Below are 25,881 nucleotides of genomic sequence, written 5' to 3' on the forward strand. Positions count from 1 at the left end.
AGATATAATCTACAAAAGCTTTCATAAACTAAGAAAAAGACAACCCATTTAAAAGTAATCAATTGAGTTGAATACTCAATAAAAATTCCAACATCAGTAAACAGACAAAAAGATTCAAACTCTAATAATTGGGAAATGCAATTTGAAAGAATGAGAAACTACACTTTTTCACTACCTAGACACAATGAAATTAACAAGAGTGGTGATGTCCTGGGCGGGCGAGGACCTAGAGGAACAGGCACTCAAAACACTTCTCCTGAGGCTGTGAGCTGCCACCATCCCTTGAAAAAAAAAAAAAATGCGCTTGTATGTGATCAGATCAAAACTGCATACACCCCATGCCCCAACAATCCTGCTTTTGGGAATTGATTTACAGAAAAAGACACACAGGCTTCTGAAGACTTCTATTTAGAGCTGCCTGTTACAACGATACCACTTTGATCAGCTAAACCCTGAAAACAAACATGCACAAAAAGAGAAGTCCAATAACTGACTGCACAGCAGGGCTCTCTGGAAGAAACCAGCTCTTGGCTGAGTTGAGGATGTGAGGGAAAAGCCTGGCAGAGAGGAGCTATCAGAGCAGGGTGTGGCAGACAGCAGTGGCAGAGTGGACTGAAGGAGAGGGGCCTGCACAGTGAAGGGCCCAGCTTATCATTCAAGGCACCCCAGGCCACCATCCTGGCCCTGCTTTTCATGACCTTCACGGATATGGGAAAGTCACTTGACCCGTTAGACCTCGGTTGCCTCTTTGATCAAACGGGTATCAGAAATCCAAAATTCCAAAATCCACAGATCCAAAGAGCTCCAAAGTCAAGCCATCCCCAAGCTCATTGGGCAGGAAAACCTGACCTGTGTTGGTGGGAGATGACTTACAGACATGACTGACACGCTTGGTGTGAACGTTCACATACTTCCCTGCAGAAAAGTTAACCAGGCTGCTGCACACTGCTGTGCTGAGCACTGAGGGTGCCGTGTGCCCTGTGGAGTAGAGATCATATTGCCTTTGCAACTGAAAAATCCTGAATCTCAACACACACCTGGCTCCGAGGGGATCGAGTTGGTGCTTGGTGACCCACAGTGCCAGATGCTGGTGTACAGCGTGGGGCCTGCTGCTGCTCTGTGCCTGTCAATCATTTCTATTTTGTGTACTGCAAGGAGCGTTCAGAGGAAGCTTTAGATATGTGGGCCTGACGGTGGGAATAAAAATCAACTGCAATTTCAGGGAGGGGTTCTGGGGGCCACATGCGTTCACTCACTTTTTCCTAACCATGTGGGCTGTCTGCCCCAGGCCCGGCCCTGCTGCTATGCTGACTTCTTTCCTCTCAAACACTGCCCTCTAGTGCCCCTGAGCCCATTTCCCAAGCACAGGCATCCGCTGGCTGTTGGGCGGCTGCAAAGTACCTTGAGACTCAGCTGCTTGATCTCCCATGCCAATGAGCCTGGGGGTGATCTCTCAACAAGAAGTTGGCCGGGCACCCTGGCTCACGCCTGTAATCCCAGCACTGTGGGAGGCTGGGGCAGGCGATCACCTGAGGTCAGGAGTTTGAGACCAGCCTGGCCAACACGGTGAAACCCCATCTCTACTAAACACAAAAATTAGCCGGGCATGGTGGCGGGCGCCTGCAATCCCAGCTACTCAGGAGGCTGAGGCAGGAGAATCACCTGAACCCGGGATGCGGAGCTTGCAGTGAGCCGAGATCGCGCCACTGCACTCCAGCCTGGGCGACAGAGCAAGACTCCGTCTCAAAAAAAAAAAAAAAAAAAAAAAAGGCATTTTACCCAAACTTTACAAAAGGAAAATCCAGTGTTATTTTTAGAATGTTACCTATGGGGGCTTCCACTGCGACCAGGATGGAGTCACAGAGACTGGACTTGACCCCCCAAAAATAGAGTAAATACAAGAAAACAACAGTGGTCAAGACTCTACCAAGAAAGTGATCCCTGAGGAACGGGAAACATCAAGGCAAGCCCTAAAATTGCCGCTGGGTCCTGTTGCAAGTTTCTAGACCACGGGACAGGGAGGGAAGACTGAGGCGGAGCTGGGAGGACTCCGTGAGCAGAGGAGACAAAGCAGGGAGTCTGAGCTTTGTTCTTGAGCTTTGTTTTGAGAATGAAGTTATGGGCCGGGTGCGATGGCTCACGCCTGTAATCCCAGCACTTTGGGAGACCGAGGTGGGTAGATCACCTGAACTCAGGTGTTCGAGACCAGCTTTGCCAACATGGTGAAACCCTGTCTCTACTAAATATATACAAATTCGCCGGGTGTAGTGGTGGGTGCCTGTAGTCCCAGCTACTCGGGAGCCTGAGGCAGGGGAATCTCTTGAACCTGGGAGGCGAAGGTTGCAGTGAGCCAAGATCGCGCCATTGCACTCCAGCCTGGGCAGCAGAGCGAGACTCCATCTCAAAAAATAAATAAATAAAAATAAAAATAAATTATCTTGGACTTCCAGCCTCCAGAACTGTGAGAAATAAGTGTTTGTTGTTTTTGAGCCACCAGTCCATGGTCCTCTGTTACTGCAGACTAGAATGCCAGGGAAAGAACCACCTGGAGGGACTGAAGCAAATAGCGCCTGAGTTCTGGGGACTCACACAGGCCTTGACAAGGCGCTGTTCCTGCCAGAAGAACCTCATAACTGAAGGAACACTGGGTAGAACACGGAGAGGGTCTTACATCAGCCGTGGGGAATAAGCAGCCCTAACCTGTTAAACACTGTTCTGGTCCTGCCTGAGGAATCTTAAAAGCAAAACCTGAAAGGATCAAGCTGCTTCCAAGTAAGGTGACTGCATTCTCAAACAAAGCTCAAGAATATTTATAGGCATACAAAAGTAACGAGTGCTCGACAAGGTAATACTGATATTGTCTAGTATCCAACAACAAAGTCACCAAATATGCAAAAAGCAGGAAAATAGGGCACATCATGAGGATAAAAATCATTCAACTGAAACGGACCCAGGAGTTAGAATTAGTAGGTAAGAACATTAGAACAACTATTATACTGTACTCCATACGTTCCAAAAGTTCTTTACAGATACGGAAGATATAAAAAAACTCAAACTGGATATCAACAGATAGAAATTACAATGTCTGAAATAAATAATGTACTGGCTGGAACAGCAGATTTTTGTTTTTTGGGGGAGAGTCTTGCTCTGTTGCCCAGGCTGTAGTGCAGTGGCATGATCTAGGCTCACTGCAACTTCCACCTCCCAGGTTCAAGCAATTCTCATGCCTCAGCCTCCCAAGTAGCTGAGACTACAGGCACCTGCCACCACATCCAGCTAATTTTTGTATTTTTAGTAGAGACGGGCTTTCACCATGTTGGCCAGGCTGGTCTCAAACTCCTGACCTCAAATGATCTGCCAGCCTCGGCCTCCCAAAGTGCTGGGATTACAGGTGCGAGCCACTGCACCCAGCCCTAGAACAGCAGATTAGACATTGCAGGAAAAAAAAAAAAATCTGGAAGACAACATTAGAAACTGTCCAAATGAAACATTTAAAAAAATGATTTTTTTTTTTTTACTTTTTAGACAGGGTCTCACTCTGTCACCTAGGCTGGAGTGCACTGGCGTGATCATGACTCACTGCAGCCTCAACCTCTCCAGCTCAAGCGATCCTCCCACTTTAGCCTCTCGAGTAGCTGGGACTACAGGCGCACACCACCATGTTTGGCTAATCTTTAAAAATTTTCTGTAGAGATGAGGTCTCACCATGTTGCCCAGGGTGGTCTCAAACTCCTGGGCTCAAGTGATCCTACTGCCTTGGCCTCCCAAAGTGCTGGGATTACAGGCATGAGCCACCATGCCCTGCCCCAGAAGGAATGAATATATTTTTTTTTAATGAAAAGAACACTGGTGAGCTGTGGGACATTTTAATATATGTGTAACTGGAGGCCCATAAGGAGAGAGAAAGAAAGGAACAGAGAGAGTGTTTAAAGAAATAATAACCCCAAATTTCCCAAATTTGATACAAACTATAAAACCAAAGATACAAGAAACTCAACACACCCCAAGCAGAAGAAACACAAAGATAAACCAAGATACATCATAATCAAATTTCTTAAGACCAGTAACAAAGAGAAAATCTTGACAACAGCCAGATGAAAAACAAAAAGATTTTATAAACAGAGGAACAAAAATTAGGATGACACCAGATTTCTCACTGGAAACAATGTGAGAAAGCAGTGTAAGAAAATTCTTAAAGTAGCAAAAGAAAAAAGTAGTCAACCTAGAATTCGATACTCACTGAAACTGTTTTTCAAAAGTGGGCCGGGCACGATGGCTCACGCCTGTAATCCCAGCACTTTGGGAGGCAGAGGCGGGCGGATCACAAGGTCAGGAGATCGAGACCATCCTGGCTAACACAGTGAAACCCCGTCTCTACTAAAAATACAAAAAATTAGCCGGGCGTGGTGGTGGACGCCTGTATTCCCAGCTACTCGGGCGGCTGAGGCAGGAGAATGGCGTGAACCCGGGAGGCGGAGCTTGCAGTGAGCCGAGATCGCGCCACTGCACTCCAGACTGGGCGACAGAGCAAGACTCCCTCTCAAAAAAAAAACCAAAAAAACAAAAGTGAAGACAAGGCCAGGCGCAGTGGCTCACACCTGTAATCCCAGCATTTTGGGAGGCTGAGGCAGGCGTATCACCTGAGGTCAGGAGTTCGAGACCAGCCTGGCCAACATGGTGAAACCCCGTCTCTACCAAAAAATACAAAAATTAGCTGGGTGTGGTGGTGGGCACAGAGCAGAGATAGAACAGTATCATAAGGCTGGGCGTGGTGGCTCACACCTGTAATCCCAGCACTTTGGGAGGCCAAGGCAGGCAGATCCCGAGGTCAGGAGTTTGAGACCAGCCTAGCCAATATAGTGAAACCCTGTCTCTACTAAAAATGCAAAAAGGAGCTGGGTGTGGTGGTGCACGCCTGTAATCCCAGCTACTTGGGAGGCTGAGGCAGTAGAACTGCTTGAACCTGGGAGGAGTAGGCTGCAGTGAGTCGAGACTGTGCCACTGCACTCCAGCCTGCATGACAGTGAGACTCCGTCTAAAAAAAAAAAAAAGGTATCATAAAAAATGCTCAAACTTCCAAACTTCTCTCCACAAATGGTGCTAGAACAACTGGACATCAACATGCCAAAAATAAATAAATCAAATCTATACACAGACCTTAGTCTCTTCACAAAAATTAACTCAAAATGGATCATAGAGCTGAATGTTAAATGCAAATCTATAAAACTCCTAGAAGATAACATAGGAGAAAACCTACATGACTGGGTTTTGTGAATTTTTTTTTTTGAGACAAGAGTCTCACTCTGTCGCCCAGGCTGGAGTGCACTGGCAGAATCTTGGCTCACTGCAACCTCTGCCTCCTGGGTTCAAGTGATTCTCATGCCTCAGCCTCCTGAGTAGCTGGAATTACAGGTGTGCGCCACCACGCCCGGCTAATTTTTGTATTTTTAGTAGAGATGGGGTTTTGCCACGTTGGCCAGGCTGGTCTCAAACTCCTGGCCTCAAGTGATCCACTCACCTCGGCTTCCCAAAATACTGGGATGACAGCTGTGAGCCACCACGCCCAGCCGTGATAATTTTTTTGATACATCAAAGGCATGATCCATGAAAGAAACTTACAAGCTTGACTTTATTAAAATAATAATAAAAAAACCCCTCTGCTAGGCCAGGCGTGGTGGCTCACGCCTGTAATCCCAGCTCTTTGGGAGGCCGAAGCGGGCGGATCATGAGGTCAGGAGATCGAGACCATCCTGGCTAACACGGTGAAGCCCCATCTCTACTAAAAATACAAAAAATTAGCCAGGTGTGGTGGCAGGTGCCTGTAGTCCCAGCTACTCAGGAGGCTGAGGCAGGAGAATGGCGTGAACCCGGGAGGCGGAGCTTGCAGTGAGCCAAGATCACGCCACTGCACTCCAGACTGGGCGACAGAGCGAGACTCCATCTCAAAAAACAAAACAAAACAAAACCCTCTGCTCTTTGAAAAACATTTTTAATATAATGAGAAAAGCTGCAGCCTGGGAGAAACTATTTGCAAGAGACCTATCTCATGAAGGACTGCTATCCAAGATTTACAAAGGGCTCTTAAAACTCAGTTAACAGGAAAACAATCTGATTAAAAAATAGGAAAAGGGGCCAGGCATGGTGGCTTACACCTGTAATCCCAGCACTTTGGGAGGCCAAGACGGGCAGGAATTTGAGACCAGCCTGGCCAATATGGTGAAACCCTGTCTGTACTAAAAATACAAAAATTAGCCAGCATGATGGCACGTGCCTGTAGTCCCAGCTACTCGGGAGGCTGAGGCAGAAGAATTGCTTGAACCCGGGAGGCGGAGGTTGGAGTGAGCCGAGATGGTGCCACTGCACTCCAACCTGGGTGACAGAGTGAGACTCGGTCTCAAAAAAAAAAAAAAAAAAAAAAAAAAAAAAAAAAAAAAAAAGGATTGTTTCTGGGTGTGTCTGTGAGGGTGTTGCCAGGGAGGCTGACACTTGAGTGAGTGGACGGGGAGAGGGAGACCCACTCTCAGTGTGGGTGGGCACCATCCAGTCAGCGCAGAAGGTGGGAGGGGCTGGCTTGCTGAGTCTTCTGGCTTTCATCTTTCTCCTGTGCTGGATACTTCCTGTCTTTGGAGATTAGACTCCAGGTTCTTTGGCCTTTGGACTCTTGAACTTCCACCAGTGGTTTGTCGGGGACTCTTAGGCCTTCCGCCACAGACTGAAGGCTGCGCCGTTGGCTTCCCTACTTTTGAGGCTTTTGGACTTTGAGACGTGACTGGCTTCTTCCTTCCTCAGCTTGCAGATGGACTATAGTGGGACTTTGCCTGATGATCCTGTCAGCCAGTTCTCCCTAATATACTCCCTTTCAATATATACATATATCCTGTTAGTTCTGGCCCTCTGGAGAACCCTAATACAGATGGCAAATAAACACAGGAAAAGATGTTCACCGTATGTCATTAGGGAACCGTCCGTTAAAACAAGACACCACTGGCCGGGCGCGGGGGCTCACACCTGTAATCCCAGCACTTTGGAAGGCCAAGGCAGGTGGATCACGAGGTCAAGAGATCGAGATCATCCTGGCCAACATGGTGAAACCCCGTTTCTACTAAAAATACAAAAATTAGCTGGGCGTGGTGGCGCACGCCTGTAGTCCCAGCTACTCGGGAGGCTGAGGCAGGAGAATCGCTTGAACCCAGGAGGCGGAGGTTGCAGTGAGCCGAGACCATGCCACTGCACTCTAGCCTGGAAGACAGAGTGAGACTCTGTCTCAAAAAAACAAAAAAAAAACAAGACACCACTACATACCTATTAGAATGCCAAATCCAAAATGCTGGCACCACCAAATGCTGGCAGAAATGTGGAGCAACAGAAACCCTTCTTCATTGGTGCTGGCAATGCAGAATGGTACAGCTACTTTGGAGGACAGTGTGGTGGTCTCTCATAATCCTAAACATACTCTTAGAATATGAACCAGCAACACTGCTCCCCAGTATTTACACAGATGGGTTGAAAACTTCTGCCCACAAAGAAATCTGCACGTGCACGTTTATGGCAGCTTTCTTTATCACTGCCAAAAACTTGGAAGGAACCAAGATATCCTTCAATAAATGTCTTACTACATTCTGGTTGTTGTAACAAAATACCATACACTGCGTAGCTGAGGCAGGAGGATCACTTGAGCCTGGGAGGTTGAAGCTGCTGTGGGCTGAGACAGAGATCACATCATTGCACTCCAGCCTGGGTGACAGAATGAGAAACCCTGTCTCAAAAAAAAAAAAAAAGTACAGTTTTGGTTTTTGCTGTGACTGGGCTCCTGGAGTGAGAGCTCTGGATCCCAGCTGCAAGATGAGGAATCTGGAGCCGAGAGAAGGGAAACGAGTTTTCCAAGTCATACGGCTGGTTAAGTAAAAGAGCCGGGATTATGACTTAGGTTTCCTGCCCCCCAAGATTATTATTTTTTGAAACAGAGTTTCGCTCTGTCTCCCAGGCTGGAGTGCAATGGCATGATCTGGGCTCACTGCAACCTCCACCCCCAGGGTTCTAGCGATTCTCCTGCCTCAGCCTCATGAGTAACTGGGATTACAGGCATGCGCCACCATGCCCGGCTAATTTTTCTGTATTTTTAGTAGAGACGGGGTTTCGCCATGTTGGCCAGGCTGGTCTTGAACTCCTGACCTCAGGTGATCCACACGCCTCGGCCTCCCAAAGTGCTAGGATCACACGCATGAGCCACCGCGCCTGGCCTACCCAAGATTATTAAAATAAGTTTTCAGAAGCAACCCCCTACTGGCCAGGCGCAGTGGCTCATGCCTGTAATCCCGGCACTTTGGGAGGCAGAGGCGGGCGGGTCACCTGAGGTCCGGAATTCCAGATACTGTGAAACCCTGTCTTCACTAAAAATACAAAAATTAGCTGGGTGTGGTGGTGCACGCCTGTAAAGAGAATTGCTTGAACCTGGGAGGCAAAGGTTGCAGTGAGCTGAGATCGTGCTACTGCACTCCAGCCTGGGCGACAGAGCCGTCTCAAAAAATAATAATAATAATAGATTTTTTAAGAAAAGCAATCCCCTAGTGACTTCTTAGAGCACATCATCAGACAGTTGGGGTAAAATTCTGAAGTGGATTAAGGGAGGGGTGCTGGTTTGCCTGGATGGCTACATGAACATAGCCCTGGAACCAACCAAATATGTAACTGGACAACAGAAAAATAAGTACAGGGTGCATTAATCAGAGGCAACAATGTTTTGTACTTAAGTACACAGAAGACACGATGTGAAGACACCAAGAGAACAGTACTTTTCATGGTTAGACACATTTCTTAGGTATTTTTTCTACTTTGGGATTCTTTTGTGATATAATTTGTCCTGTTTACATAATTTTTTTCCCTGACATGTAAGATAAATGTATCTAATTGTGGGCTTACTTGTAAAGAGTTTTCACATTTAAGTTCCAGTCATTTCATTTTATCGCTGTATCTGTGTACAGAATGCTAAAGAATAAGACATAAAAAATAAAAGTACAGTTATAAACACCTCTTTTAAAAGGCAGAGACTGTTCGCTTGGGCAAAAAAAAGCAAGATCCAACTACATGCTATCTACAAGAAACCCACCCTAAATACAACAGGTAAAAGGAAGCTAAATGGAACGTGGGTCCTGGCTTGTACCCTGGCATGTAAAGAAAACATTGGAGGAAAAGGTGGTGAAATCCCAGTAAAGTCTGGGTTTTAGTTACAGTAATGCATCATGTCAGTATCTACAACAAACCACTTTTGTTGGTGCTTGTGATGACAGCATCAGAAGAAAGTGGGCATAAAACATGGTGGACTGCTTATGATCTTTGCAACTTTTCTTTTTTTTTTTTTTGAGACAAGAATTTCACTCTTGTTGCCCAGGCTGGAGTGCAATGGTGTAACCTCGGCTCACTGCAACCTTGGCCTCCTGGGTTCAAGCGATTCTCCTGCCTCAGCCTCCCGAGTAGCCGGGATTACAGGTGCACGCGCCACCACGCCCAGCTAATTTCTGTATTTTTAGTAGAGACGGGACTTCACCATGTTGGCCAGGCTGATCTTGAACTCCTGACCCCAGGTGATCCACCCATCTCGGCCTCCCAAAGTGTTGGGATTACAGGCGTGAGCCAGCGCGCCCGGTCTTTGCAACGTTTTGAATAAATCCAAAATTATTCCAGAACAAAAAGCTTAGTACCAAAAAGAAAACAAAAACAAAAACAAAACAAACCCCCCCCCCCCCACAGAGTAAAATAACGGAAAAAGATCTACTATGCTAGCACTAACAAAATAATACGTAGTTATGAAAATGGTATGTATTTTTCAAGCTAGACGTTCATAATGGTAGAACATGAGGAGGAAAACTGCCTCTTAAATCCCACCACTTACTGTGACACAGTGACCGGTCCCTGCAGCGGACTGGATAGTTGTATCAGAGTCCTGGACGGAAACAGATGGCACTCAAAAGGTGGCGCGCAGTTCAGAGAAATGCCTATGTACGGATTTGGTCCAATGCCTCAGCCTGACCTCAGGGACCTTCGGGGGTCTGCTCCGCGCCCACCCTTACACATCTGTGACCCCACACACTTCCACCCCAGCGCCACTGCCAACAGCTACACCCATCCCCCTCCAACCGCGTCAGCTTCCAGCCTCGGTCCATCTGAACTCGCCGTGCCCCCTCCCCTGCGCCCTTCCAGATTCATTTGCTAGGGAAGCCCGCTCTTCCGGGTGGAGCTGTTCCTCATCCCCTTTCTTTATCATTCTCTCCCCAGGGCTTCCACATCACCGTGCTGTGGACAATCCCGGAACTCCTGTCACGCCAGTTTACATTTAGGAACAGTAATGGCTCCCACTGACTCAGTCAAAACAAGGCTGCGGCCGGGCACGGTGGCTCACGCCCGTAATCCCAGCACTTTGGGAAGCCGAGACGGAGGGATCACGAGGTCAGGAGTTCGAGAACAGCCTGGCCGACATGGTGAAACCCCGTCTTTACTAAAAACACAAAAATTAGCCGGGCATAGTGGCGCGCGCCTGTAATCCCAGCTACTCCGGAGGCTGAGGCAGAATTGTTTGAACCCAGGAGGCGGAGGTTGCAGTGAGCAGAGATCACGCCACTGTACTCTATCGTGGGCGACGACAGAGCAAGAGCAAGACTCCGTCTCCGAGAACAACAACAACAGCAACAAGAAAACAACAATAAAAAAAATAAGGCTGCGTGGGAGGCAGAAAGAGCTAATGCGGCCACGCTTGTCTCCTCGGGGCCACCGTCCCCACCCAGACTTCCGGTCTGCCTTAAAATGTTCATGCGTAAGTGCGTGGGCAGGAAGGCGGGCTCAAGCGCAGCTCGTGGCGTTCATTGGCTGTGCAGGGCCGAGGGAGGCGGTGCAAGGCCGCCGCGTGACGTCAGGACGCCGCGGTCAGGACGTCGAAGCCAAAGAAGACCAGAGCCAGCCGGGTGGCACAGCGGTGTCGTGGCCGTGTTGCTGATCGCCTGGGTGGTTGTTGGCGTGTCCCTGCAGCGAAGGATCCTGGTTGGTAAGGGGAGCGGCAGGCGAGCAGGCGGGCGGGGATAGCATCTCCTTTTGGTCTTGCGCCCCGCGAGCCCCGAGGCCTTCTCGGCCGTCGCAGCAGCAGACGCCGCGCGCGAGCGTCGACAGGGTGTGGCGGCGCAGGGGCAGCCACTGCGCCTGCGCACCGGGCCTGGGGCCGCGCGTTCGGGCACTAGCGCGCGTGCGCCGTCGTCTTCTAATTTCCGTTCCTCTCCCTTGGAGTTCTCGGGGCCCCGGGGCGCCCCTCACTCGCCGTTGACCGGGTGTTGCCCCGGGCGACGGGCGGCTCCTGCGCGTCTTTCTGGGGCGTGGTGCGCAGGCGCGGCCTGGGCAGTGGCTCCGTGGCTAGTCGTGGGGATCCGAGCGGCCTCCTCCACCCGGCGTCCTCCTTTGCCTTCGCCCAGCCTGCGGGACGGCCAGGTGCTCCCGGGACCTCAGGCCTCGCGTCTGATGCCTGTCTCTGTTCTTGAGACCCGTCCGGGAGTCCTCTGTCCAGCCCCCAACTCCTGACCTTACCTCTAATCTCCCTTCTGCCCTGGGGCTCCTCTTCCTGTGTCCCCGCCACGATCCCTCGTCTCCACCCACGCCCTGTGTCCTGTTTAAGTTAAGCCTTTGCGTTTCTAGGGCTTTTCCCCAGCTCCAGACTCCCGTTCCTATCCCGTCAACTCGTGGGAATTCCGGTTCTCCTGCGGGATTAATTATCCTACTTATCAGTTACTCCCTCTCGGGAGTTTAGGCTCCTGAATCCTTGCTCCGGAGACACTCCACTTTTCTTCCAATTCTCTCTGTACCCCACTCTTAATTCGTTGAACATGTTTTGGGTCTTCTTTGGCATTCCCAAAGCTTTATGTCCAGACACCCAACCACGGTGATCCCTTTTCTCTCCCAGCCCTACCCCTGCTTCCGGGAACCTCCCGTGGAAGCAGGCAGGGGTAGTCCCACTGAGGACTCCCACGTAGGTCTCTTTACTGCCCTTCGGAGACCTTTTTGAAATCAGTCTGTCAGTGCTAAGAACCCATTTCTTCACGTTGGGGTTCACGTTGGCATTCTCAGGAACGCTCAACGACCACTTGCTTCCAGGGTTAACTTCCGGAAAATCCCCTTTTCCTCTCAAAATTTTCTTCTCTTCTCCAATATTCTTCCAGCCCCCTCGATGCTCCCTGAAAGGCCTCCCTTTTCACAGAGTTCTCGGAAACCTTTCCACCCTCTCAGCCTTAAGGGTTCCCTCAGACTCTTCTCATTATAGCATCCATCCTCTTGGTTCAGGTTCCTTTCACAACCCGTACTCCCTAGCTTTTTTTTTTTTTTTTTTTTTGAGACAGAGTTTCGCTCTTGTTGCCCAGGCTGGAGAGCAATGGCGCAGTCTCAGCTTACCGCCCTCCGCCTCCCGTGTTCAAGCGATTCTCCTGCCTCGGCCTCCCTAGTAGCTGGGATTACAGGCATATGCCACCATGCCCAGCTAATTTGGTATTTTTAGTAGAGACGTGGTTACTCCATGTTGGTTAGGCTGGTCTCGAACTCCCGACCTCAGGTGACCTGCCCGCCTTGGCCTCTCAAAGTGCTGGGATTACAGGCGTGAGCCACCGCGCCTGGCCCCTAGAATTTTTTGTAGACCTTTTCCCCTTGATGGAGGCACCCCTACCCTCTGGACCTTTCATCACAGCCTCTCTTTGCTCACATGGGTTTCAGACCCTTCTCCTTCCCTTTGGGAAGTCTGCTCTGGCTTCCCTGTTTCCAAATCCTTCGTTTTCCACCTGGAGCTCTACAAAGGGGCCAGGGGCTTCCCCTCACTCCAGCCTTTCTAGTCCACACCCAGAACTCTTCAGATCCTTGACCCCAGTGGCTTTTCAGTCAGCCTCCCCTTTTCTGCCCGGCTTCTCTTGAGTCCATCTACTTTTCTTCCCCACTTTGTGACGTGTTTTTAGCTCCCCCTTAAGTCTCCCTAACTCATTCTTTTTCTCATAGACAGTGAAAAAGCAGTCTGGCTCCCGAGGTCCACCCCTTATACCCCAAGGTCCAGATGGCGGCCAACGTGGGTGATCAACGTAGCACAGATTGGTTAGTGAGGCGAGAGGGATGGAGGCCAGTCGGGAGGGAAAGAGGAAGCAAGACCCAGTGCTGTCCTCTGGGGTGGGACCTCCCGTGGCCTTAGGGGAGGTGATGCCACAATCCCTGTGGGTGGGGGTGGTGGTGAGGCAAACACAGAGGGAAGCATTTGGTTGTGGTGTGGAGAGGGGCAAGCTTTCACCTCTCTGAGCTTTCGTTTTTCACAGTACAGCGCTTGCTTTGCAGAATTGTGATGATTCATTCAAGCAAGTGTAATTAGGAGGCAGCTTCCCAACACTCAATACACAGTCATTTATTTGTTTTTCTGCTGATTCCTTATTTTTTCTCAAAATAGTGTGATAACCTGCCGACTGGGGTGATGTCAGACAGAATTCATTGATTCATGAAAGACATAGCCCTAGGAGGTGCCAAGGCCTGTGTTCAGTTCTGTGGGTTCTGTTAATTGTTTTGTTTGTTTGGTTTTAACAACTGCTGTGTGCCAGGCTCTGGGATAAGTACCTTAAGTAGGTGATCTCATTTATCCCTCCCAGCAGACTCTGAAGCAGAAACCCTTTATCAGCATAGTACAGATTAGAAAACTTAGGCTTAGACTGGTAGTAACAGTTAGATATGGGATCCAGGGGCTGGAATTTGCCTCCCAACTTGCCCACCTGTGTACAGTGGGGAGAACAGGTGTGACTTGATGTCCTCTCTCTCTGCAGGTCTTCTCAGTACAGCATGGTGGCTGGGGCAGGCCGAGAGAATGGCATGGAGACGCCGATGCACGAGAACCCGGAGTGGGAGAAGGCCCGTCAGGCCCTGGCCAGCATCAGCAAGTCAGGAGCTGCCGGCGGCTCTGCCAAGTCCAGCAGCAATGGGCCTGTGGCCAGTGCACAGGTGAGAAGGCCTCATGGGGCTGGGGTACCCTGAGCCAGAGGTTGTGGGAGGGACACAGTCTGGCGTCCTGTTGTATCATTCAGACGGGGTGCTCTGAGGGGAAACATGAAAAGACGTTCCAGGGTATCTAAATCTGAACGGGAAAAAGTTCTGTTTCCTTGAGGAAATTAGGGCGTGATGTGGTTCTGAAGAGGGAGGCCATGCCCATGCCCCTGGTCTCTAACGTGCGTGAGTCTCATGGTAGAGACAGTGGCTCACTTTGCAGATACATGGACCCAGTTTCATCCCTTGGCAATTGGCCACCAGTAAACAGGCTTGCCCTTTGGGGGCCGTGTGCCTGTGGATTTGGGCTGCTGACGGCACATGTGCCTCTGCTTCCACAGTACGTGTCCCAGGCAGAAGCCTCAGCTTTGCAGCAGCAGCAGTACTACCAGTGGTACCAGCAGTACAACTATGCCTACCCCTACAGCTACTACTATCCCATGGTGAGTGCCCAGCCAGTGGGGCGGGGCAGGGCGAGGTGGAGTCTGCTGGGTCGGGGCGAGGTGAAGTGGAGTCTGCCGGGATGGGGCTGGGTGGTGGATGGACTGGAGATCGCAGTGATAACTGCTCAGAAACCCTCTAACTTGCCCAGGAGGTAAATTCCTAGGTCCCCGCCATGAGCCACAAGGTCCTACATACCCGGTTCTGGTCCCTTCTCTCCTCATGCTCATTCTGCCATGGCCATCGAAGCAGAGACCTCCTTGATGCCCGCACCCGCCAGGCCCGCTCTCGCTTTGCCCTGGCTGCAGTGCTCCCTGTGTTGCCGCCTCTTGGAGGTCTCTGCTCAGATGCCGCCTTCAGAGAGCCTCTACCTGACACACTGATTGAAAGTAGCATTCCTGCCTCGCAGCCTGTCCCTCTCCCTTTCTTTGCCATCTTATTGTTTCATGATCCTTATTGCTGGATGTATTACATGTTGATGTCTCCAGCCGGACATGTAATTCCAGCACAAGCTTCATTACAGCATGGGTTTTCCTTTTGTTCTGTCGTAGTGCTTAGAAGAGTTGGCACTCAGTATCGTTGATTATATTCTTCCGAGAACTAGCTAAGTGAGATGTGGGATTGATAGAGGTTTTTCTTTTCCTAATATATGAGAGGATGTGGTGCATTAATATAGTGAAGAGAGAAAGGGGTGAGGGATTGGTAGAGGGTCATGGCTGGTGTAGTTCCTGAGCAGGCTGGGGAAGCGGAAAGGGTAGGCCTCCCACTAAACCCTCCCTCCCTGCGCCTTTGCAGAGCATGTACCAGAGCTATGGCTCCCCTTCCCAGTATGGGATGGCCGGCTCCTATGGCTCAGCCACACCCCAGCAGCCATCCGCACCCCAACACCAAGGGACTCTGAACCAGGTAACATCCTAGCCCAGCTCCCATACCCTGCTCAAGCAGAGGAAGTGTAGATTTTTGAATGAGCTGTCAATGAGGAATGGCTTGTACTCCTTAAGCTGCTTTTTTCCTTCCAAGCAACTCCTGATCTGAAAATGAGGAGGACAGAGCATAGTGTTTGAACCTGGGGTGGGTTTAAGGCTGAGCCAAGGCCAGGGCTGAGATGTTGAAAGACATCTCATCTTTTTCCCTAGCATGGTCACCCACAGGCGTGCACACACCGGCTGGGTTTTGCATTGAATGTGCAGCTTGGAGGAATGGCCGGGCTAGTGCACAGGAGGCAGGTAGACCTGGGTTTGAATCCCAGCTGTCCCACCCCTGGTGTAATTACGCATCTCGGTCAGCTCTCGAAAGCGGGAAGGATGGTAGCCTCATCCTTGGGCTCCATGAGTGTGTGTGCTCATGGGTGTCTTGTGCTCAGATGGTAGCGCTGGAGTGGGTGTGTTGTCGGTGGCTGTTACTCCAGCATTGAAACGCTGCCAGCTGCCGCTTCATAGCTTAGGGCCCTGGGAAGTCGCTTAGTCTCTGAGCTGGAGCCTTGTCAGCTGTGAAAAGGGCTGTTAACAAATGTTAACCTCACAGAGTTACTGAGGACTCGAATGAACTCACATTTGGGAAGGTCACGGGAGGGTTGAGTGCTGAGTGCTGTGACCACTGCGTCCTCACAGCGAGGGCTGAGTGCCACTCGCCAGCCCCAGAATCTGCCTCCCGTGCTCAGCGCCTGCTTCCTTCTGCAGCCCCCAGTCCCCGGCATGGATGAGAGCATGTCCTACCAGGCTCCCCCTCAGCAGCTGCCGTCGGCTCAGCCCCCTCAGCCCTCAAATCCCCCACATGGGGCTCACACGCTGAACAGTGGCCCTCAGCCTGGGACAGCTCCAGCCACACAGCACAGCCAGGCGGGGCCCGCCACGGGCCAGGCCTATGGGCCACACACCTACACCGAACCTGCCAAGCCCAAGAAGGGCCAACAGCTGTGGAACCGCATGAAACGTAAGTTGGCAGAGCTACGTGGAGGTCCGAGCGGTTGGGCCCTCATAAGAGCTCCTGGGTGTGAGGCCCGTGGTGTGTGCTGCTCCTTGTTTCTGGGTGTTGTGATCGCCAGGCTGGGGGTGGGGCTGCTCTGGACCAGGCACATGTGTGCTGGAGCCCTCCTCTAGAACCTGAGCGCTCCTCCCTGCATTTCCACTTCCTCCCGTCCCCTGGGGACCCCTGGATGTGCCGGGGAAGGGCCTAACCATAGCTTTCGCTGCCCTCACAGCCGCCCCTGGGACTGGAGGTCTCAAGTTCAACATCCAGAAGCGACCCTTTGCTGTTACCACCCAGAGCTTTGGCTCCAACGCAGAGGGCCAGCACAGTGGTTTTGGCCCCCAGCCCAACCCTGAGAAAGTTCAGAACCACAGGTGACGTCTGCCCCCTTGCCCCGTCGCAGCCCCACACTCTGCACTCAGCGTCTATGGTCCAGTCCCACTGGCCAGCTGCCCACCCTGAGCCTCAGTGTGCGCCTCTGAAAAGGGCAGAAGGACCCTCTCTTGGGGGTTGCTGTGAGCACTGAAGGAGACAGAAGGAAAACTTGGGGACTGCGTCCCGCTGTGTCAGCTCAGAGTGGCGGTGGGGATGGTCTTTTGAGTTTGGGATCGTCTCCAGCTGAGCCCCTCATCTGTCCTCCCGCAGCGGGTCCTCTGCCCGGGGGAACCTGTCTGGGAAGCCGGATGACTGGCCCCAGGACATGAAAGAGTATGTGGAGCGCTGCTTCACCGCCTGTGAGTCGGAGGAGGACAAGGACCGCACGGAAAAGCTGCTCAAGGAGGTGCTGCAGGCGCGGCTGCAGGACGGCTCGGCCTATACCATTGACTGGAGCCGGGAGCCCTTGCCGGGGTTAGTCTGGGTGGGGGACATAGGTGGGAGGGTGGTGCTGTGAGAGGCATGGGCTGGGTATGGAGGTAGGAGAGTTGCGGGTCCCAGGTACCAGGAGCTCCAAAGAGAAATGAACTGGAAAGTTGGATCCTGGGGGGATGAAGTCCTGGTTGGAGGGAGGCCGGTGGGGTGGGGTGGGGACCATGGGTGCTGGAGAGGCGTGCATTGCTCAGTGGTTAAGCGCACCCTCTGGAGACGGAAAACCTGGGTTCGCGTCTCATTTCTGCACTGTAGTAGCTGAGCCGCCTGGGGTAAGTGCCTTTCCTTTCGGAGGCGGGTCGGTACCTTGAGGGAGGTGGTGGCGGCTGTCCTGCCAGTGTCTGGCGGGGTTGGTGACGCCCTGCCCTGCTGTATTCTCAGGCTGACCCGGGAGCCTGTGGCTGAGAGCCCTAAGAAGAAGCGGTGGGAGGCCGCTAGCAGCCTTCACCCTCCTAGAGGGGCAGGCTCGGCGACAAGGGGCGGGGGTGCCCCGTCCCAGCGAGGGACGCCCGGGGCTGGGGGTGCCGGTCGAGCCCGGGGCAACAGCTTCACCAAGTTTGGCAACCGCAACGTCTTCATGAAGGACAACAGCTCTTCTTCCAGCACAGACTCCCGCTCCCGCTCCTCCTCCAGGTCCCCGACGCGCCACTTCCGCAGAAGGTACTGAGGCTCCCGGCTGGGGCTGTGTGTGAGGGAGGGGGAGGCGTTTCAGGCCTGACCCTCCTGCTTCTTCCTGCAGTGACTCCCACTCAGACTCCGACAGCTCCTACTCAGGGAATGAGTGTCACCCTGTGGGCCGCAGGAACCCGCCCCCTAAGGGCCGGGGCGGTCGAGGGGCCCATATGGATCGGGGCCGAGGCAGGGCGCAGCGTGGGAAGAGGTGAGACTGTGTGAGGGCTCGACACACGGGCCAGGGTGGAGGAGGGTACTGGGGACCCATGGGAGAAGGAGGAGGAGGGCCGGACAGGTGGACAGCCAGCTGCCAAAGGGGCGAGGCTGAAGGGGGGCTGGAGACGCCTGTCGCGCTCACTGCCCCTCATCCCTTCCTAGGCACGATCTGGCGCCCACCAAGCGCAGTCGAAAGAAGATGGCGGCGCTGGAGTGTGAGGACCCGGAGCGAGAGCTGAAGAAGCAGAAGCGGGCAGCCCGCTTCCAGCACGGACACTCCCGCCGCCTGCGCCTCGAGCCCCTGGTGCTGCAGATGAGCAGCCTGGAGAGCAGTGGGGCTGACCCTGACTGGCAGGAGCTGCAGATCGTGGGCACCTGCCCTGACATCACCAAGCACTACCTGCGCCTCACCTGTGCCCCCGACCCGTCCACCGTGCGCCCTGTGGCAGTAAGTGCCCAGCAGGGCAGTTCTGCTCTGTGAGGCCGTGCTGGCTCAGGACTTGGGGAGCCAACCCAGGGAGGGTGGCAGAGGCCACACGGGGGCTCTGGTATGGCAGGGGAAGCTCGGCCAGAGACGCCTCGGCTGGTCGGCATTCTGAGAGGAGCGCAAAGGCGCTCTGCTGCCCTGGAGCCCCGCGTGGCGGGTGTGCAGCTTGGCCGGCGAATCGCTTGACCTCTGGGCCGTGGTTCCTGGCTTAGGTGACACGGAGCATAAAGCCTTCTCCCAGGCCCGTGGGCTGTGGGGCGTGGGGGGCTGTGTTTCCAGTGTTTGGCGTAGTCACTGTTCTGCTGCAGAACCTGTGAACAGCCATGTGCTTATAGGGAAATGGGTGTGGAGGTGGCCACTCTTAACCCATGTCTTGTGGGTTTGTTTTCTCTTTTTTTGGGAGAGAGTCTGGCTCTGTCGCCCAAGCTGGAGTGCAATGGCGTGATCTTGGCTCACCGCAGCCTCCGCTCCCCGGCTTCAAGCGATTCTCCTGCCTCAGCCTCCCTAGTGGCTGGGATTACAGGCGTCTGCCACTACGCCTGGCTGATTTTTGTATTTTTAGTAGAGACGGGGTTTCACCATGTTGGCCAGGTTGGTCTCAAACTCCTGACCTCAGATGATCCACACACCTCGGCCTCCCAAAGTGCTGGGATTACAGGCGTGAGCCACTGCGCCTGGCCTTTTTTTTCTTTTTTTAATGTTGCAACTCTCCCACCAAATAAGTGGAAGCCGTTGGCCACGCTACCTGAGTTGTACTCCGAGTGTGAATTCAGTTCCCTTTTTCAGGTTTTGAAAAAGTCGCTGTGCATGGTCAAGTGCCACTGGAAAGAGAAGCAGGACTACGCGTTTGCCTGCGAGCAGATGAAGTCGATCCGGCAGGATCTGACGGTGAGACTCGCGCTGGGAGGGGCCTGGCCTCAGCCAGTCCTGCCTCCCGCTCCTTGTGACTCTTGTTCTCGCCCCGCTGCCCCAGGTGCAGGGCATCCGCACCGAGTTCACGGTGGAGGTGTACGAGACCCATGCCCGGATCGCCTTGGAGAAGGTGAGCTGGCCTCTGCGGGCCTCCCCAGCCCCTTTCCTGCTGCCGTTCTGCCCTCAGCACCCTCACTCTGCTCTCCTCCCTCGGTGCCTCTGCCTTCCAGGGTGACCATGAAGAGTTTAACCAGTGCCAGACGCAGCTCAAGTCGCTGTACGCCGAGAACTTGCCTGGCAATGTGGGCGAGTTTACTGCCTACCGAATCCTCTACTACATCTTCACCAAGAACTCGGGAGGTGAGGCCCAGTCCCCAGGACAGAGGCCATGGTACCCAGGGTTGAGCCCTGCTGACTTCACCCTCTTTGTCTTGGTGCTAGACATCACCACGGAGCTGGCATACCTCACACGAGAACTGAAGGCAGATCCTTGCGTGGCCCACGCCTTGGCATTAAGGACAGCCTGGGCCCTGGGCAACTACCACCGCTTTTTCCGGCTCTACTGCCATGCACCCTGCATGTCTGGCTACCTCGTGGACAAGTTTGCAGATCGGGAGCGCAAGGTCGCCCTCAAGGCCATGATCAAAACGTATGTGGTGCCAAGCTCCCTTCTGCCTTTGCTCTTCCCATCCTTCCGCCTCGCACCGCCCCTCAGACCAGCTCCTGGCCGCAGGCCTCCCCCAGCCCCCAACCCTTGTCCTGGTCCTTGCTTCCCCATCATCTTTCTCCATTCAGCCCTCCCCTCTCCAGTTCCTCTTGCTCTCCTTGTTGGTCACCTCTGTGTTCCGGGTCACTCCTCTCCCTCTCCCCACTGTTCCCAGCTCACTGCCTCTGGGGCCTCTTCTCCACCCCATCTGTGTGTCTCTTCCTCCTGTTCTCTCCTGCCTGGACCCCCTAGTTCACTCCTTGCCCTGGGCTTCCTCAGAACCCTGAGGTCTCTGCTTTCTCAGCTTGTCGCTGTGCTCCCACCATAGAGACCATCTAGACAGCCTCTGGTCTACCAGGACAAGGCCCAGTCCCACTCAGCTCCTTTGAGAGCACCAGAAACGCTTAGGGAGACACCTGTGTTGAGGCCACACTGGGCGCGGTGCCAGAGGCCCCTGGTCAGGCCATGCCCCTGCAGTGTCCTTCGTTCACTAGACATTGCGCCTGGCTTGCTGTGGGTGGGGATGAGTTGCTTGACTCATGTTTAGACGCATGGTTCTGTCTGGTGATTGAGGTGCCCAGGCGACGCTGGGCAATGTCAAGAGAGGTTTTCGCTTGTCACAGCAAGGGGATGCTCTTGGCATCTAGTGAGTGGAGGCCAGGGATGCTGCCCTGCCACTGCCATTGGGCCTCAGAGCTCAGTCTTGCCAAGGTGGAGAAATTCTGGTCGAAGAGGTTGACCGGTAGACTGAAGAGGCCTTGAGAGCCTGGCCAGGTGGCTGTCCACGTGAGGTCATAGTCACAGCATGGAGGCCTTGAGAGCCTGGCCAGGTGGCCCTCCACGTGAGGTCATGGTCACAGCATGGGGGCCTTGAGTGCCTGGCCAGGTGGCCCTCCACGTGAGGTCATGGTCACAGCATGGAGGCCTTGAGAGCCTGGCCAGGTGGCCCTCCACGTGAGGTTGTGGTCACAGCATGGGGGCCTTGAGAGCCTGGCCAGGTGGCCCTCCACGTGAGGTCATGGTCACAGCATGGAGGCCTTGAGAGCCTGGCCAGGTGGCCCTCCGTGTGAGGTCATGGTCACAGCATAGTTTGGAGCTAGGGAGGGACTGTCAGCCTGGAGGTTTGGAGACTCATTCTGGAATCTAGTGTGGGTCAAGCCAACTTCAGGGAGAGGCTGAGCCAGGGTAGGAGTCACAGGAGCAGACGAGGATGTGGGGTGCCGTGCACAGAGCTCCATGACCAGCTTGGGAAGTTAGAAGGAAGGGGAGGCAGGAGGCTGCTTAGTCTGCTGCCATGATGGGCCCCATGAATGGTGGCTCTCAAGCTTCTGTGCTACACAGGGGTGTGTGGTTGGGCGAGTGTCCTTGTTAATTGATACCTAATTGGCCTTGGTTGGGAACATAGCCATGAGTGCCCCTCGTGGGTGGGGCGCCAGTCTGTCATTGACCTCATTGTGTCAGCACCTTCCCCCCAAGGAGGCTGACCCTGCCCTGCCAGCTGAGACTGGGAGACGGAGTGGGCTCTGATCCCAGGGCTTCCAGGAAAGCTCTGGCTTTGGAGCAGAAGCGGGTTCTAGGACTTAGTGCCCCTCACTCGGTGCCTGGGTTCCTGTGTGTGTGGAAAGGGTAGGGCTGCACCCTGTGGAAGAGGGTTCAGGGAGCTCTGAGGACCTGGCTCGTGCTAGATGCTCAGTCAGTAGTGTGTTTTAGCAGCAGCCGGAAGTGACTGCTTTCAGTGTGTAGTGGTGAGTGCTAGCTGGCACCCCTGCGCCTGGCTTCCCAGACACTGTAACGCAGGGCAGGGGAGGCAGCGAGGGCTGGGTCCCCACGGTGGCCCTGGCAGCCCCGCCATCCCCATCCCCTGCCACGTGCTGCTCCCTCCATCTGGTCCCTGCCCCTCAGCCAGCGGAGGAGCCCGCTGGGCCCTTCCCTGCCCGTCCCCGCTCCTCCCTGGCCCCCGCACAGGTAAGTGAGGGTGAGGGGGGCACAGGGGACTGGGGTCACTAACCCCCCCCGGGCCCCCCCCGAGCCCCTGAGGTGGGGAGGCTGGGAGGCGGGTGGGGAGCCAGCAGGCACTGTGCTGAGGAAATCCTGTGGGCACCCGAATGGGGGGGCCTCCCCGCTCGTGGGGCCCTCCCCTGCCCTCCCGCCCGCCCGCCTCATCACCTTCTCCTCTTGTCTCCATAGCTTCCGCCCTGCGCTGCCAGTCTCCTACCTGCAGGCCGAGCTGGCCTTCGAGGGCGAGGCCGCCTGCCGGGCCTTCCTAGAGCCCCTGGGCCTGGCCTACACGGGCCCGGACAACTCCAGCATCGACTGCCGCCTCAGCCTGGCGCAGCTGTCAGCCTTCTGAGCACCCAGCGAGGAGGGGCGGGGGCAGGGGCTGCAGCCCCCAGCGCTGCCTTTGCGGATTCTGTTTTTGAGCCGTGGACTTGGGTTGTAAATTTATTTGTGGGGAGTGCGCTCCAGGAAGAGCCACCATCCCTGCCCCCGTTTTCCCACCGGGGAGTCTGTACAGAGATTTTTCTACGTTTTTATTTTTTGCCTCAGAGGGATGGGATTGGGGAGGAGGGGATGGGCAGCGGAGGGTTGGGGGCATGGTCTGCAGGCTCATCTGTGTCCGCCTTTCACTCCACTAATGCTGTCTCAGTGTTTTCTCTCTCTCTCTTTCGAGCTTGCACTCCGGTACCCGACCCGGCGCCCTGGCCCATCCCATGCCGGGGGGCCAGTGGAAAGAAGACAGGCCGTCCAGCCCGTGCCCGCCTGCGGCGGGGGCACCCAGCAAGCCCGCCCACCGCCCGCTGCCTCACCTGCTTCGCCACAGACTCTTGTTCCCAGCCCCTTGGGGCCTCCGTGTTTGGGGTGGGGGAGCTGCTTAGAGACTGTGCCCGTCCTCGGCCCCCCACCCTGAAGTGCCAGCACCACCAGCACCAGATCCTCCGCCGCCACACCGCACTGAGGACACGCCGGCCGGGCCGCCTCGTCTCAAGTTGTATAAAGTTGTCTCCGTGTCCCCTCCTCCCTCTGCCCCCAGTGTTTCTTCTGATTTTTTTTTCCCCTTTCCCTCCCTCCCTCTCCGCATTCTTCCCTTGGTTCAGCACAGGTAAAACGGTTCCCCTCCCTCCCTGCCTTCATGGATCACCAGCTCACGTCATGTTGCCTTCTCTTTTCTTTGTGTGTGTGTTTATTTAAGTTATTTTTCTTCCTCCTCTCCCTTTTCTTTTTGGCCCTCCCTCCCTCCCTCTTCTGCCATGTAACTGGAGGATGTGCTATGAGTTTGCAAACAGCTGGACTGTCAGGCTGCTTTTTTTCCAGATGTTCCTCCTCTGCCTCCCCTTCCCCTCCTCTCCCCTCCTTTTCCTTCCTTCCTTCCTTTCCTTGGAGCACTGAGCACCATTTGGAAGCTTGAGAGAAACCAAAATTAAAGAGAGAAAGAGAGAGCGTGCACGCTCCTGCTTTGTCTTTCCTGTGTGGGCTGTTTGCATCCATTGTCTCCTCCAGAGGTCTGGGGGTGTCACTCCAGGGGGATCTCAGCCAGGGGCTGGAAAGGCCCCCCTGTCCTCCCTATACGGCACAGCCAGAGTGTCTGCAGGGGCTGGCACCCCACTTCCTGGCTGAGGGTGAACTCCAGCTTGGGGAGGTGGACCTGGGAACCATGGGGCACCTTGGCCACGGTGAGGTGGGGGTGCAGCTGCCCTGGAGACTGTAGTGTACTCAGCCCCTCGGCTTCCAGCCTCTGGCTCAGCACTTGTGCCATGCTTTCCAGTGTGGGAGAGGGTGGGGCACACAGCACATGCGGGCCCAGGAGGACCAGCTTTCTAAAGCTCAGCCGAGGGGGTGCATTTAGCCCCGGGGCCAAGAGGGCCCGTCTCAGAGCTCCAATGGCAGCGGCCTCCTCCCCAGCGCCTGCCAGTCGCAGCAGGGCCAGGGTCAGGTGTAGGTTCTGAGAGGGCACTAGGAAGTTGGCGCAGTGTGGGGCCACGTGGACCAGGTATTCCTGGGCCTTGGTCACTTCTGCTTGTAGCCCAGGCTCGGTCACCATGAGGGCCACAAAATGTGTGGGGCGCGGTTGGCAAGGGGCTGCAACACTAAGGCGGGCCCTTTTGTCCTCGGGCCAGGCCGCAGGACCCCACTCGGCTTCTGTCGTCTCAGCGGAGCCCCCCGGGACTCCCAGGGCCTGTGCTTCCTTGCCCCCCAGCAATGTGGTCCTGGTGGCTGCTGTTGGCTTCAGTGCCTCAGTCACTCCGGCGAGGCGTCCTCTTGGGGCCAGTGTTCCCAAATCAGCAGCTGTGCCCAGCGCCCTCTCCTGGGCCGCCTCCAGCTCTCCGGGTTCCTCCACGCCTGGTTCCTGGTGCCCTGTGCAGAGCGGCCTTGTGCTCCCTCGCTTGGGGGCAGCCTGGGCCTCCTGACCTGTCCCCGCCAGTGTCCACTCGGCACCCTCTGCCCCGTGGGCGCCCTCGGTGTTCGGTGCGTCCAGGATGGTGGGCCCGCGTCCCGCCGCCGAGCCAGAGCCAAAGACGAGGTCGGTGCGCGAGGCGCGGTCCCACACAAGGCGGCCACGGAAGCGGAAGAAGCGCACGCGGTGCTGGGGCACTGCCAGCACGCCCGGCCCGAGCGCCGCCAGCGGCTGGTCCCAGCAAAAGGCGCTGAAGGGCTCCTCGCGCACACCCAGAAAGCGGTCGACGTAGCCCACCGAGAAGTCGGCGGGGTCGAGGCGCGGGTCCCAGCGGATGCGCTGGATGACGTCCGCGGCTGTGCGCAGCGGCGGCTTCTTGGCCCCGGCCTCCGGCTGCGCCTCGCGGCCAGGCGGCGCCGGCGCCCCAGGGTGGGGCTGGCGGCAGCGGGCGCCGAAGCGGCAGCGGCCTTCCAGGAAGAAGCGGCAGGCCGGCGGGGGCGCGGGTTCCGTGGCGGGGGCTTCCTGCGGCAACTCCGGCTCTCTGGCCGCTGCCATGGGTGCGGGGAACTGGCACGCCCGCCGCGCAGACGAGGTCGCCCCGCACGGAGGGCGGCTCCCCTTGGATGCACCGAGCCTCACCCGACAGTGGCGTCAGCGGCCCGCGCTCCGGCCTAGCTCTGGGGACCACGCCGCGTGCCCTCGCGAGGACTCTGGCCCAGTCCCTCCTTGGTGGAGAGCCTGACACCGCTGCTCTGGGACTTCCCGGCTGCGCCCTCCCCCAGCGCCAGGAAAGCAAGCTGCGTAAAGGCTGCGGCAGTCTCGGTCTCCCGGAGCTCTTGGGAGCCTGGCCCCGCCCCTTTCCCGGTGATTGATGTGTGCTGCCTCTTTCTGGGTGATTTACATGTAATGCCCCGCCCCTTTCGGGATGATTACGTGTGCCTCGACCTTTAGGTGATTTACATGTAGTGCCCCGCCCCGTTCCCGGTGATTTACATGTGGTGCCCCGCCCCTTTCCTGGTGATTTACGAGTGCCCCACCCCTTTTAGGTGATTTTTTTTTTTTTTTATGTGTGCCTCTCCCCTTCCCAAGTGATTTACATATGTTCCCCGCTCCTTTCAGGGTAATTTACATGTAATGCCCCGCCCCTTTCCGGGTGATTTACGAGTGCCTCTCCCCTTCTCAAGT

At 54.9% G+C, this 25,881-nt stretch overlaps 2 protein-coding genes and 1 long non-coding RNA gene across 17 annotated transcripts, besides 1 other annotated feature; 1 reads left to right on the top strand and 2 right to left on the bottom strand.

Moving 5' to 3' along the window:
• Positions 1 to 6,540: 6,540 nt before the first annotated feature.
• Positions 6,541 to 10,763, bottom strand: LENG8-AS1 (LENG8 antisense RNA 1). The gene is made up of 3 exons (NR_126418.1): positions 10,287 to 10,763; positions 9,890 to 9,940; positions 6,541 to 6,904 (listed from the first exon to the last, which is right to left on the bottom strand). It is a non-coding gene; the product is annotated as an LENG8 antisense RNA 1 (long non-coding RNA).
• Positions 10,674 to 11,581: an enhancer, noted in NCBI's record as "H3K27ac hESC enhancer chr19:54960127-54961034 (GRCh37/hg19 assembly coordinates)". NCBI's record gives its function as "activates a minimal SCP1, AML or CMV promoter by ChIP-STARR-seq in naive H9 embryonic stem cells {active_cell/tissue: H9 hESC(naive)}" and the evidence as "EXISTENCE:reporter gene assay evidence [ECO:0000049][PMID:30033119]".
• On the top strand, positions 10,924 to 23,741 carry LENG8 (leukocyte receptor cluster member 8). 15 transcript variants are annotated; one of them, NM_052925.4, is made up of 16 exons: positions 10,924 to 11,035; positions 13,015 to 13,107; positions 13,818 to 13,992; positions 14,376 to 14,477; positions 15,271 to 15,381; positions 16,155 to 16,407; positions 16,676 to 16,817; positions 17,089 to 17,292; positions 17,692 to 17,970; positions 18,050 to 18,190; positions 18,361 to 18,646; positions 19,472 to 19,573; positions 19,659 to 19,727; positions 19,828 to 19,957; positions 20,039 to 20,246; positions 22,491 to 23,741. In NM_052925.4, exons 2-16 carry the CDS (start codon positions 13,070 to 13,072, stop codon positions 22,651 to 22,653), a joined length of 2,403 nt encoding a protein of 800 aa, NP_443157.1. In that variant the 5' UTR covers positions 10,924 to 11,035; positions 13,015 to 13,069; the 3' UTR covers positions 22,654 to 23,741. The 15 variants fall into 15 exon arrangements, with proteins under 15 accessions (NP_443157.1, NP_001425215.1, NP_001362567.1 ...); NM_001438286.1 differs by having other exon boundaries at positions 10,924 to 11,031; NM_001438287.1 differs by lacking the exon at positions 10,924 to 11,035 and adding an exon at positions 11,382 to 11,469.
• On the bottom strand, positions 23,457 to 25,503 carry LENG9 (leukocyte receptor cluster member 9). Its single transcript, NM_001301782.2, has one exon. It carries the CDS (start codon positions 25,249 to 25,251, stop codon positions 23,815 to 23,817), a length of 1,437 nt encoding a protein of 478 aa, NP_001288711.1. The 5' UTR covers positions 25,252 to 25,503; the 3' UTR covers positions 23,457 to 23,814.
• Positions 25,504 to 25,881: the final 378 nt, after the last annotated feature.

The sequence above is a fragment of the Homo sapiens genome, chromosome 19, assembly GCF_000001405.40.
Source record: "Homo sapiens chromosome 19, GRCh38.p14 Primary Assembly".
NCBI lineage: Eukaryota > Metazoa > Chordata > Mammalia > Primates > Hominidae > Homo > Homo sapiens.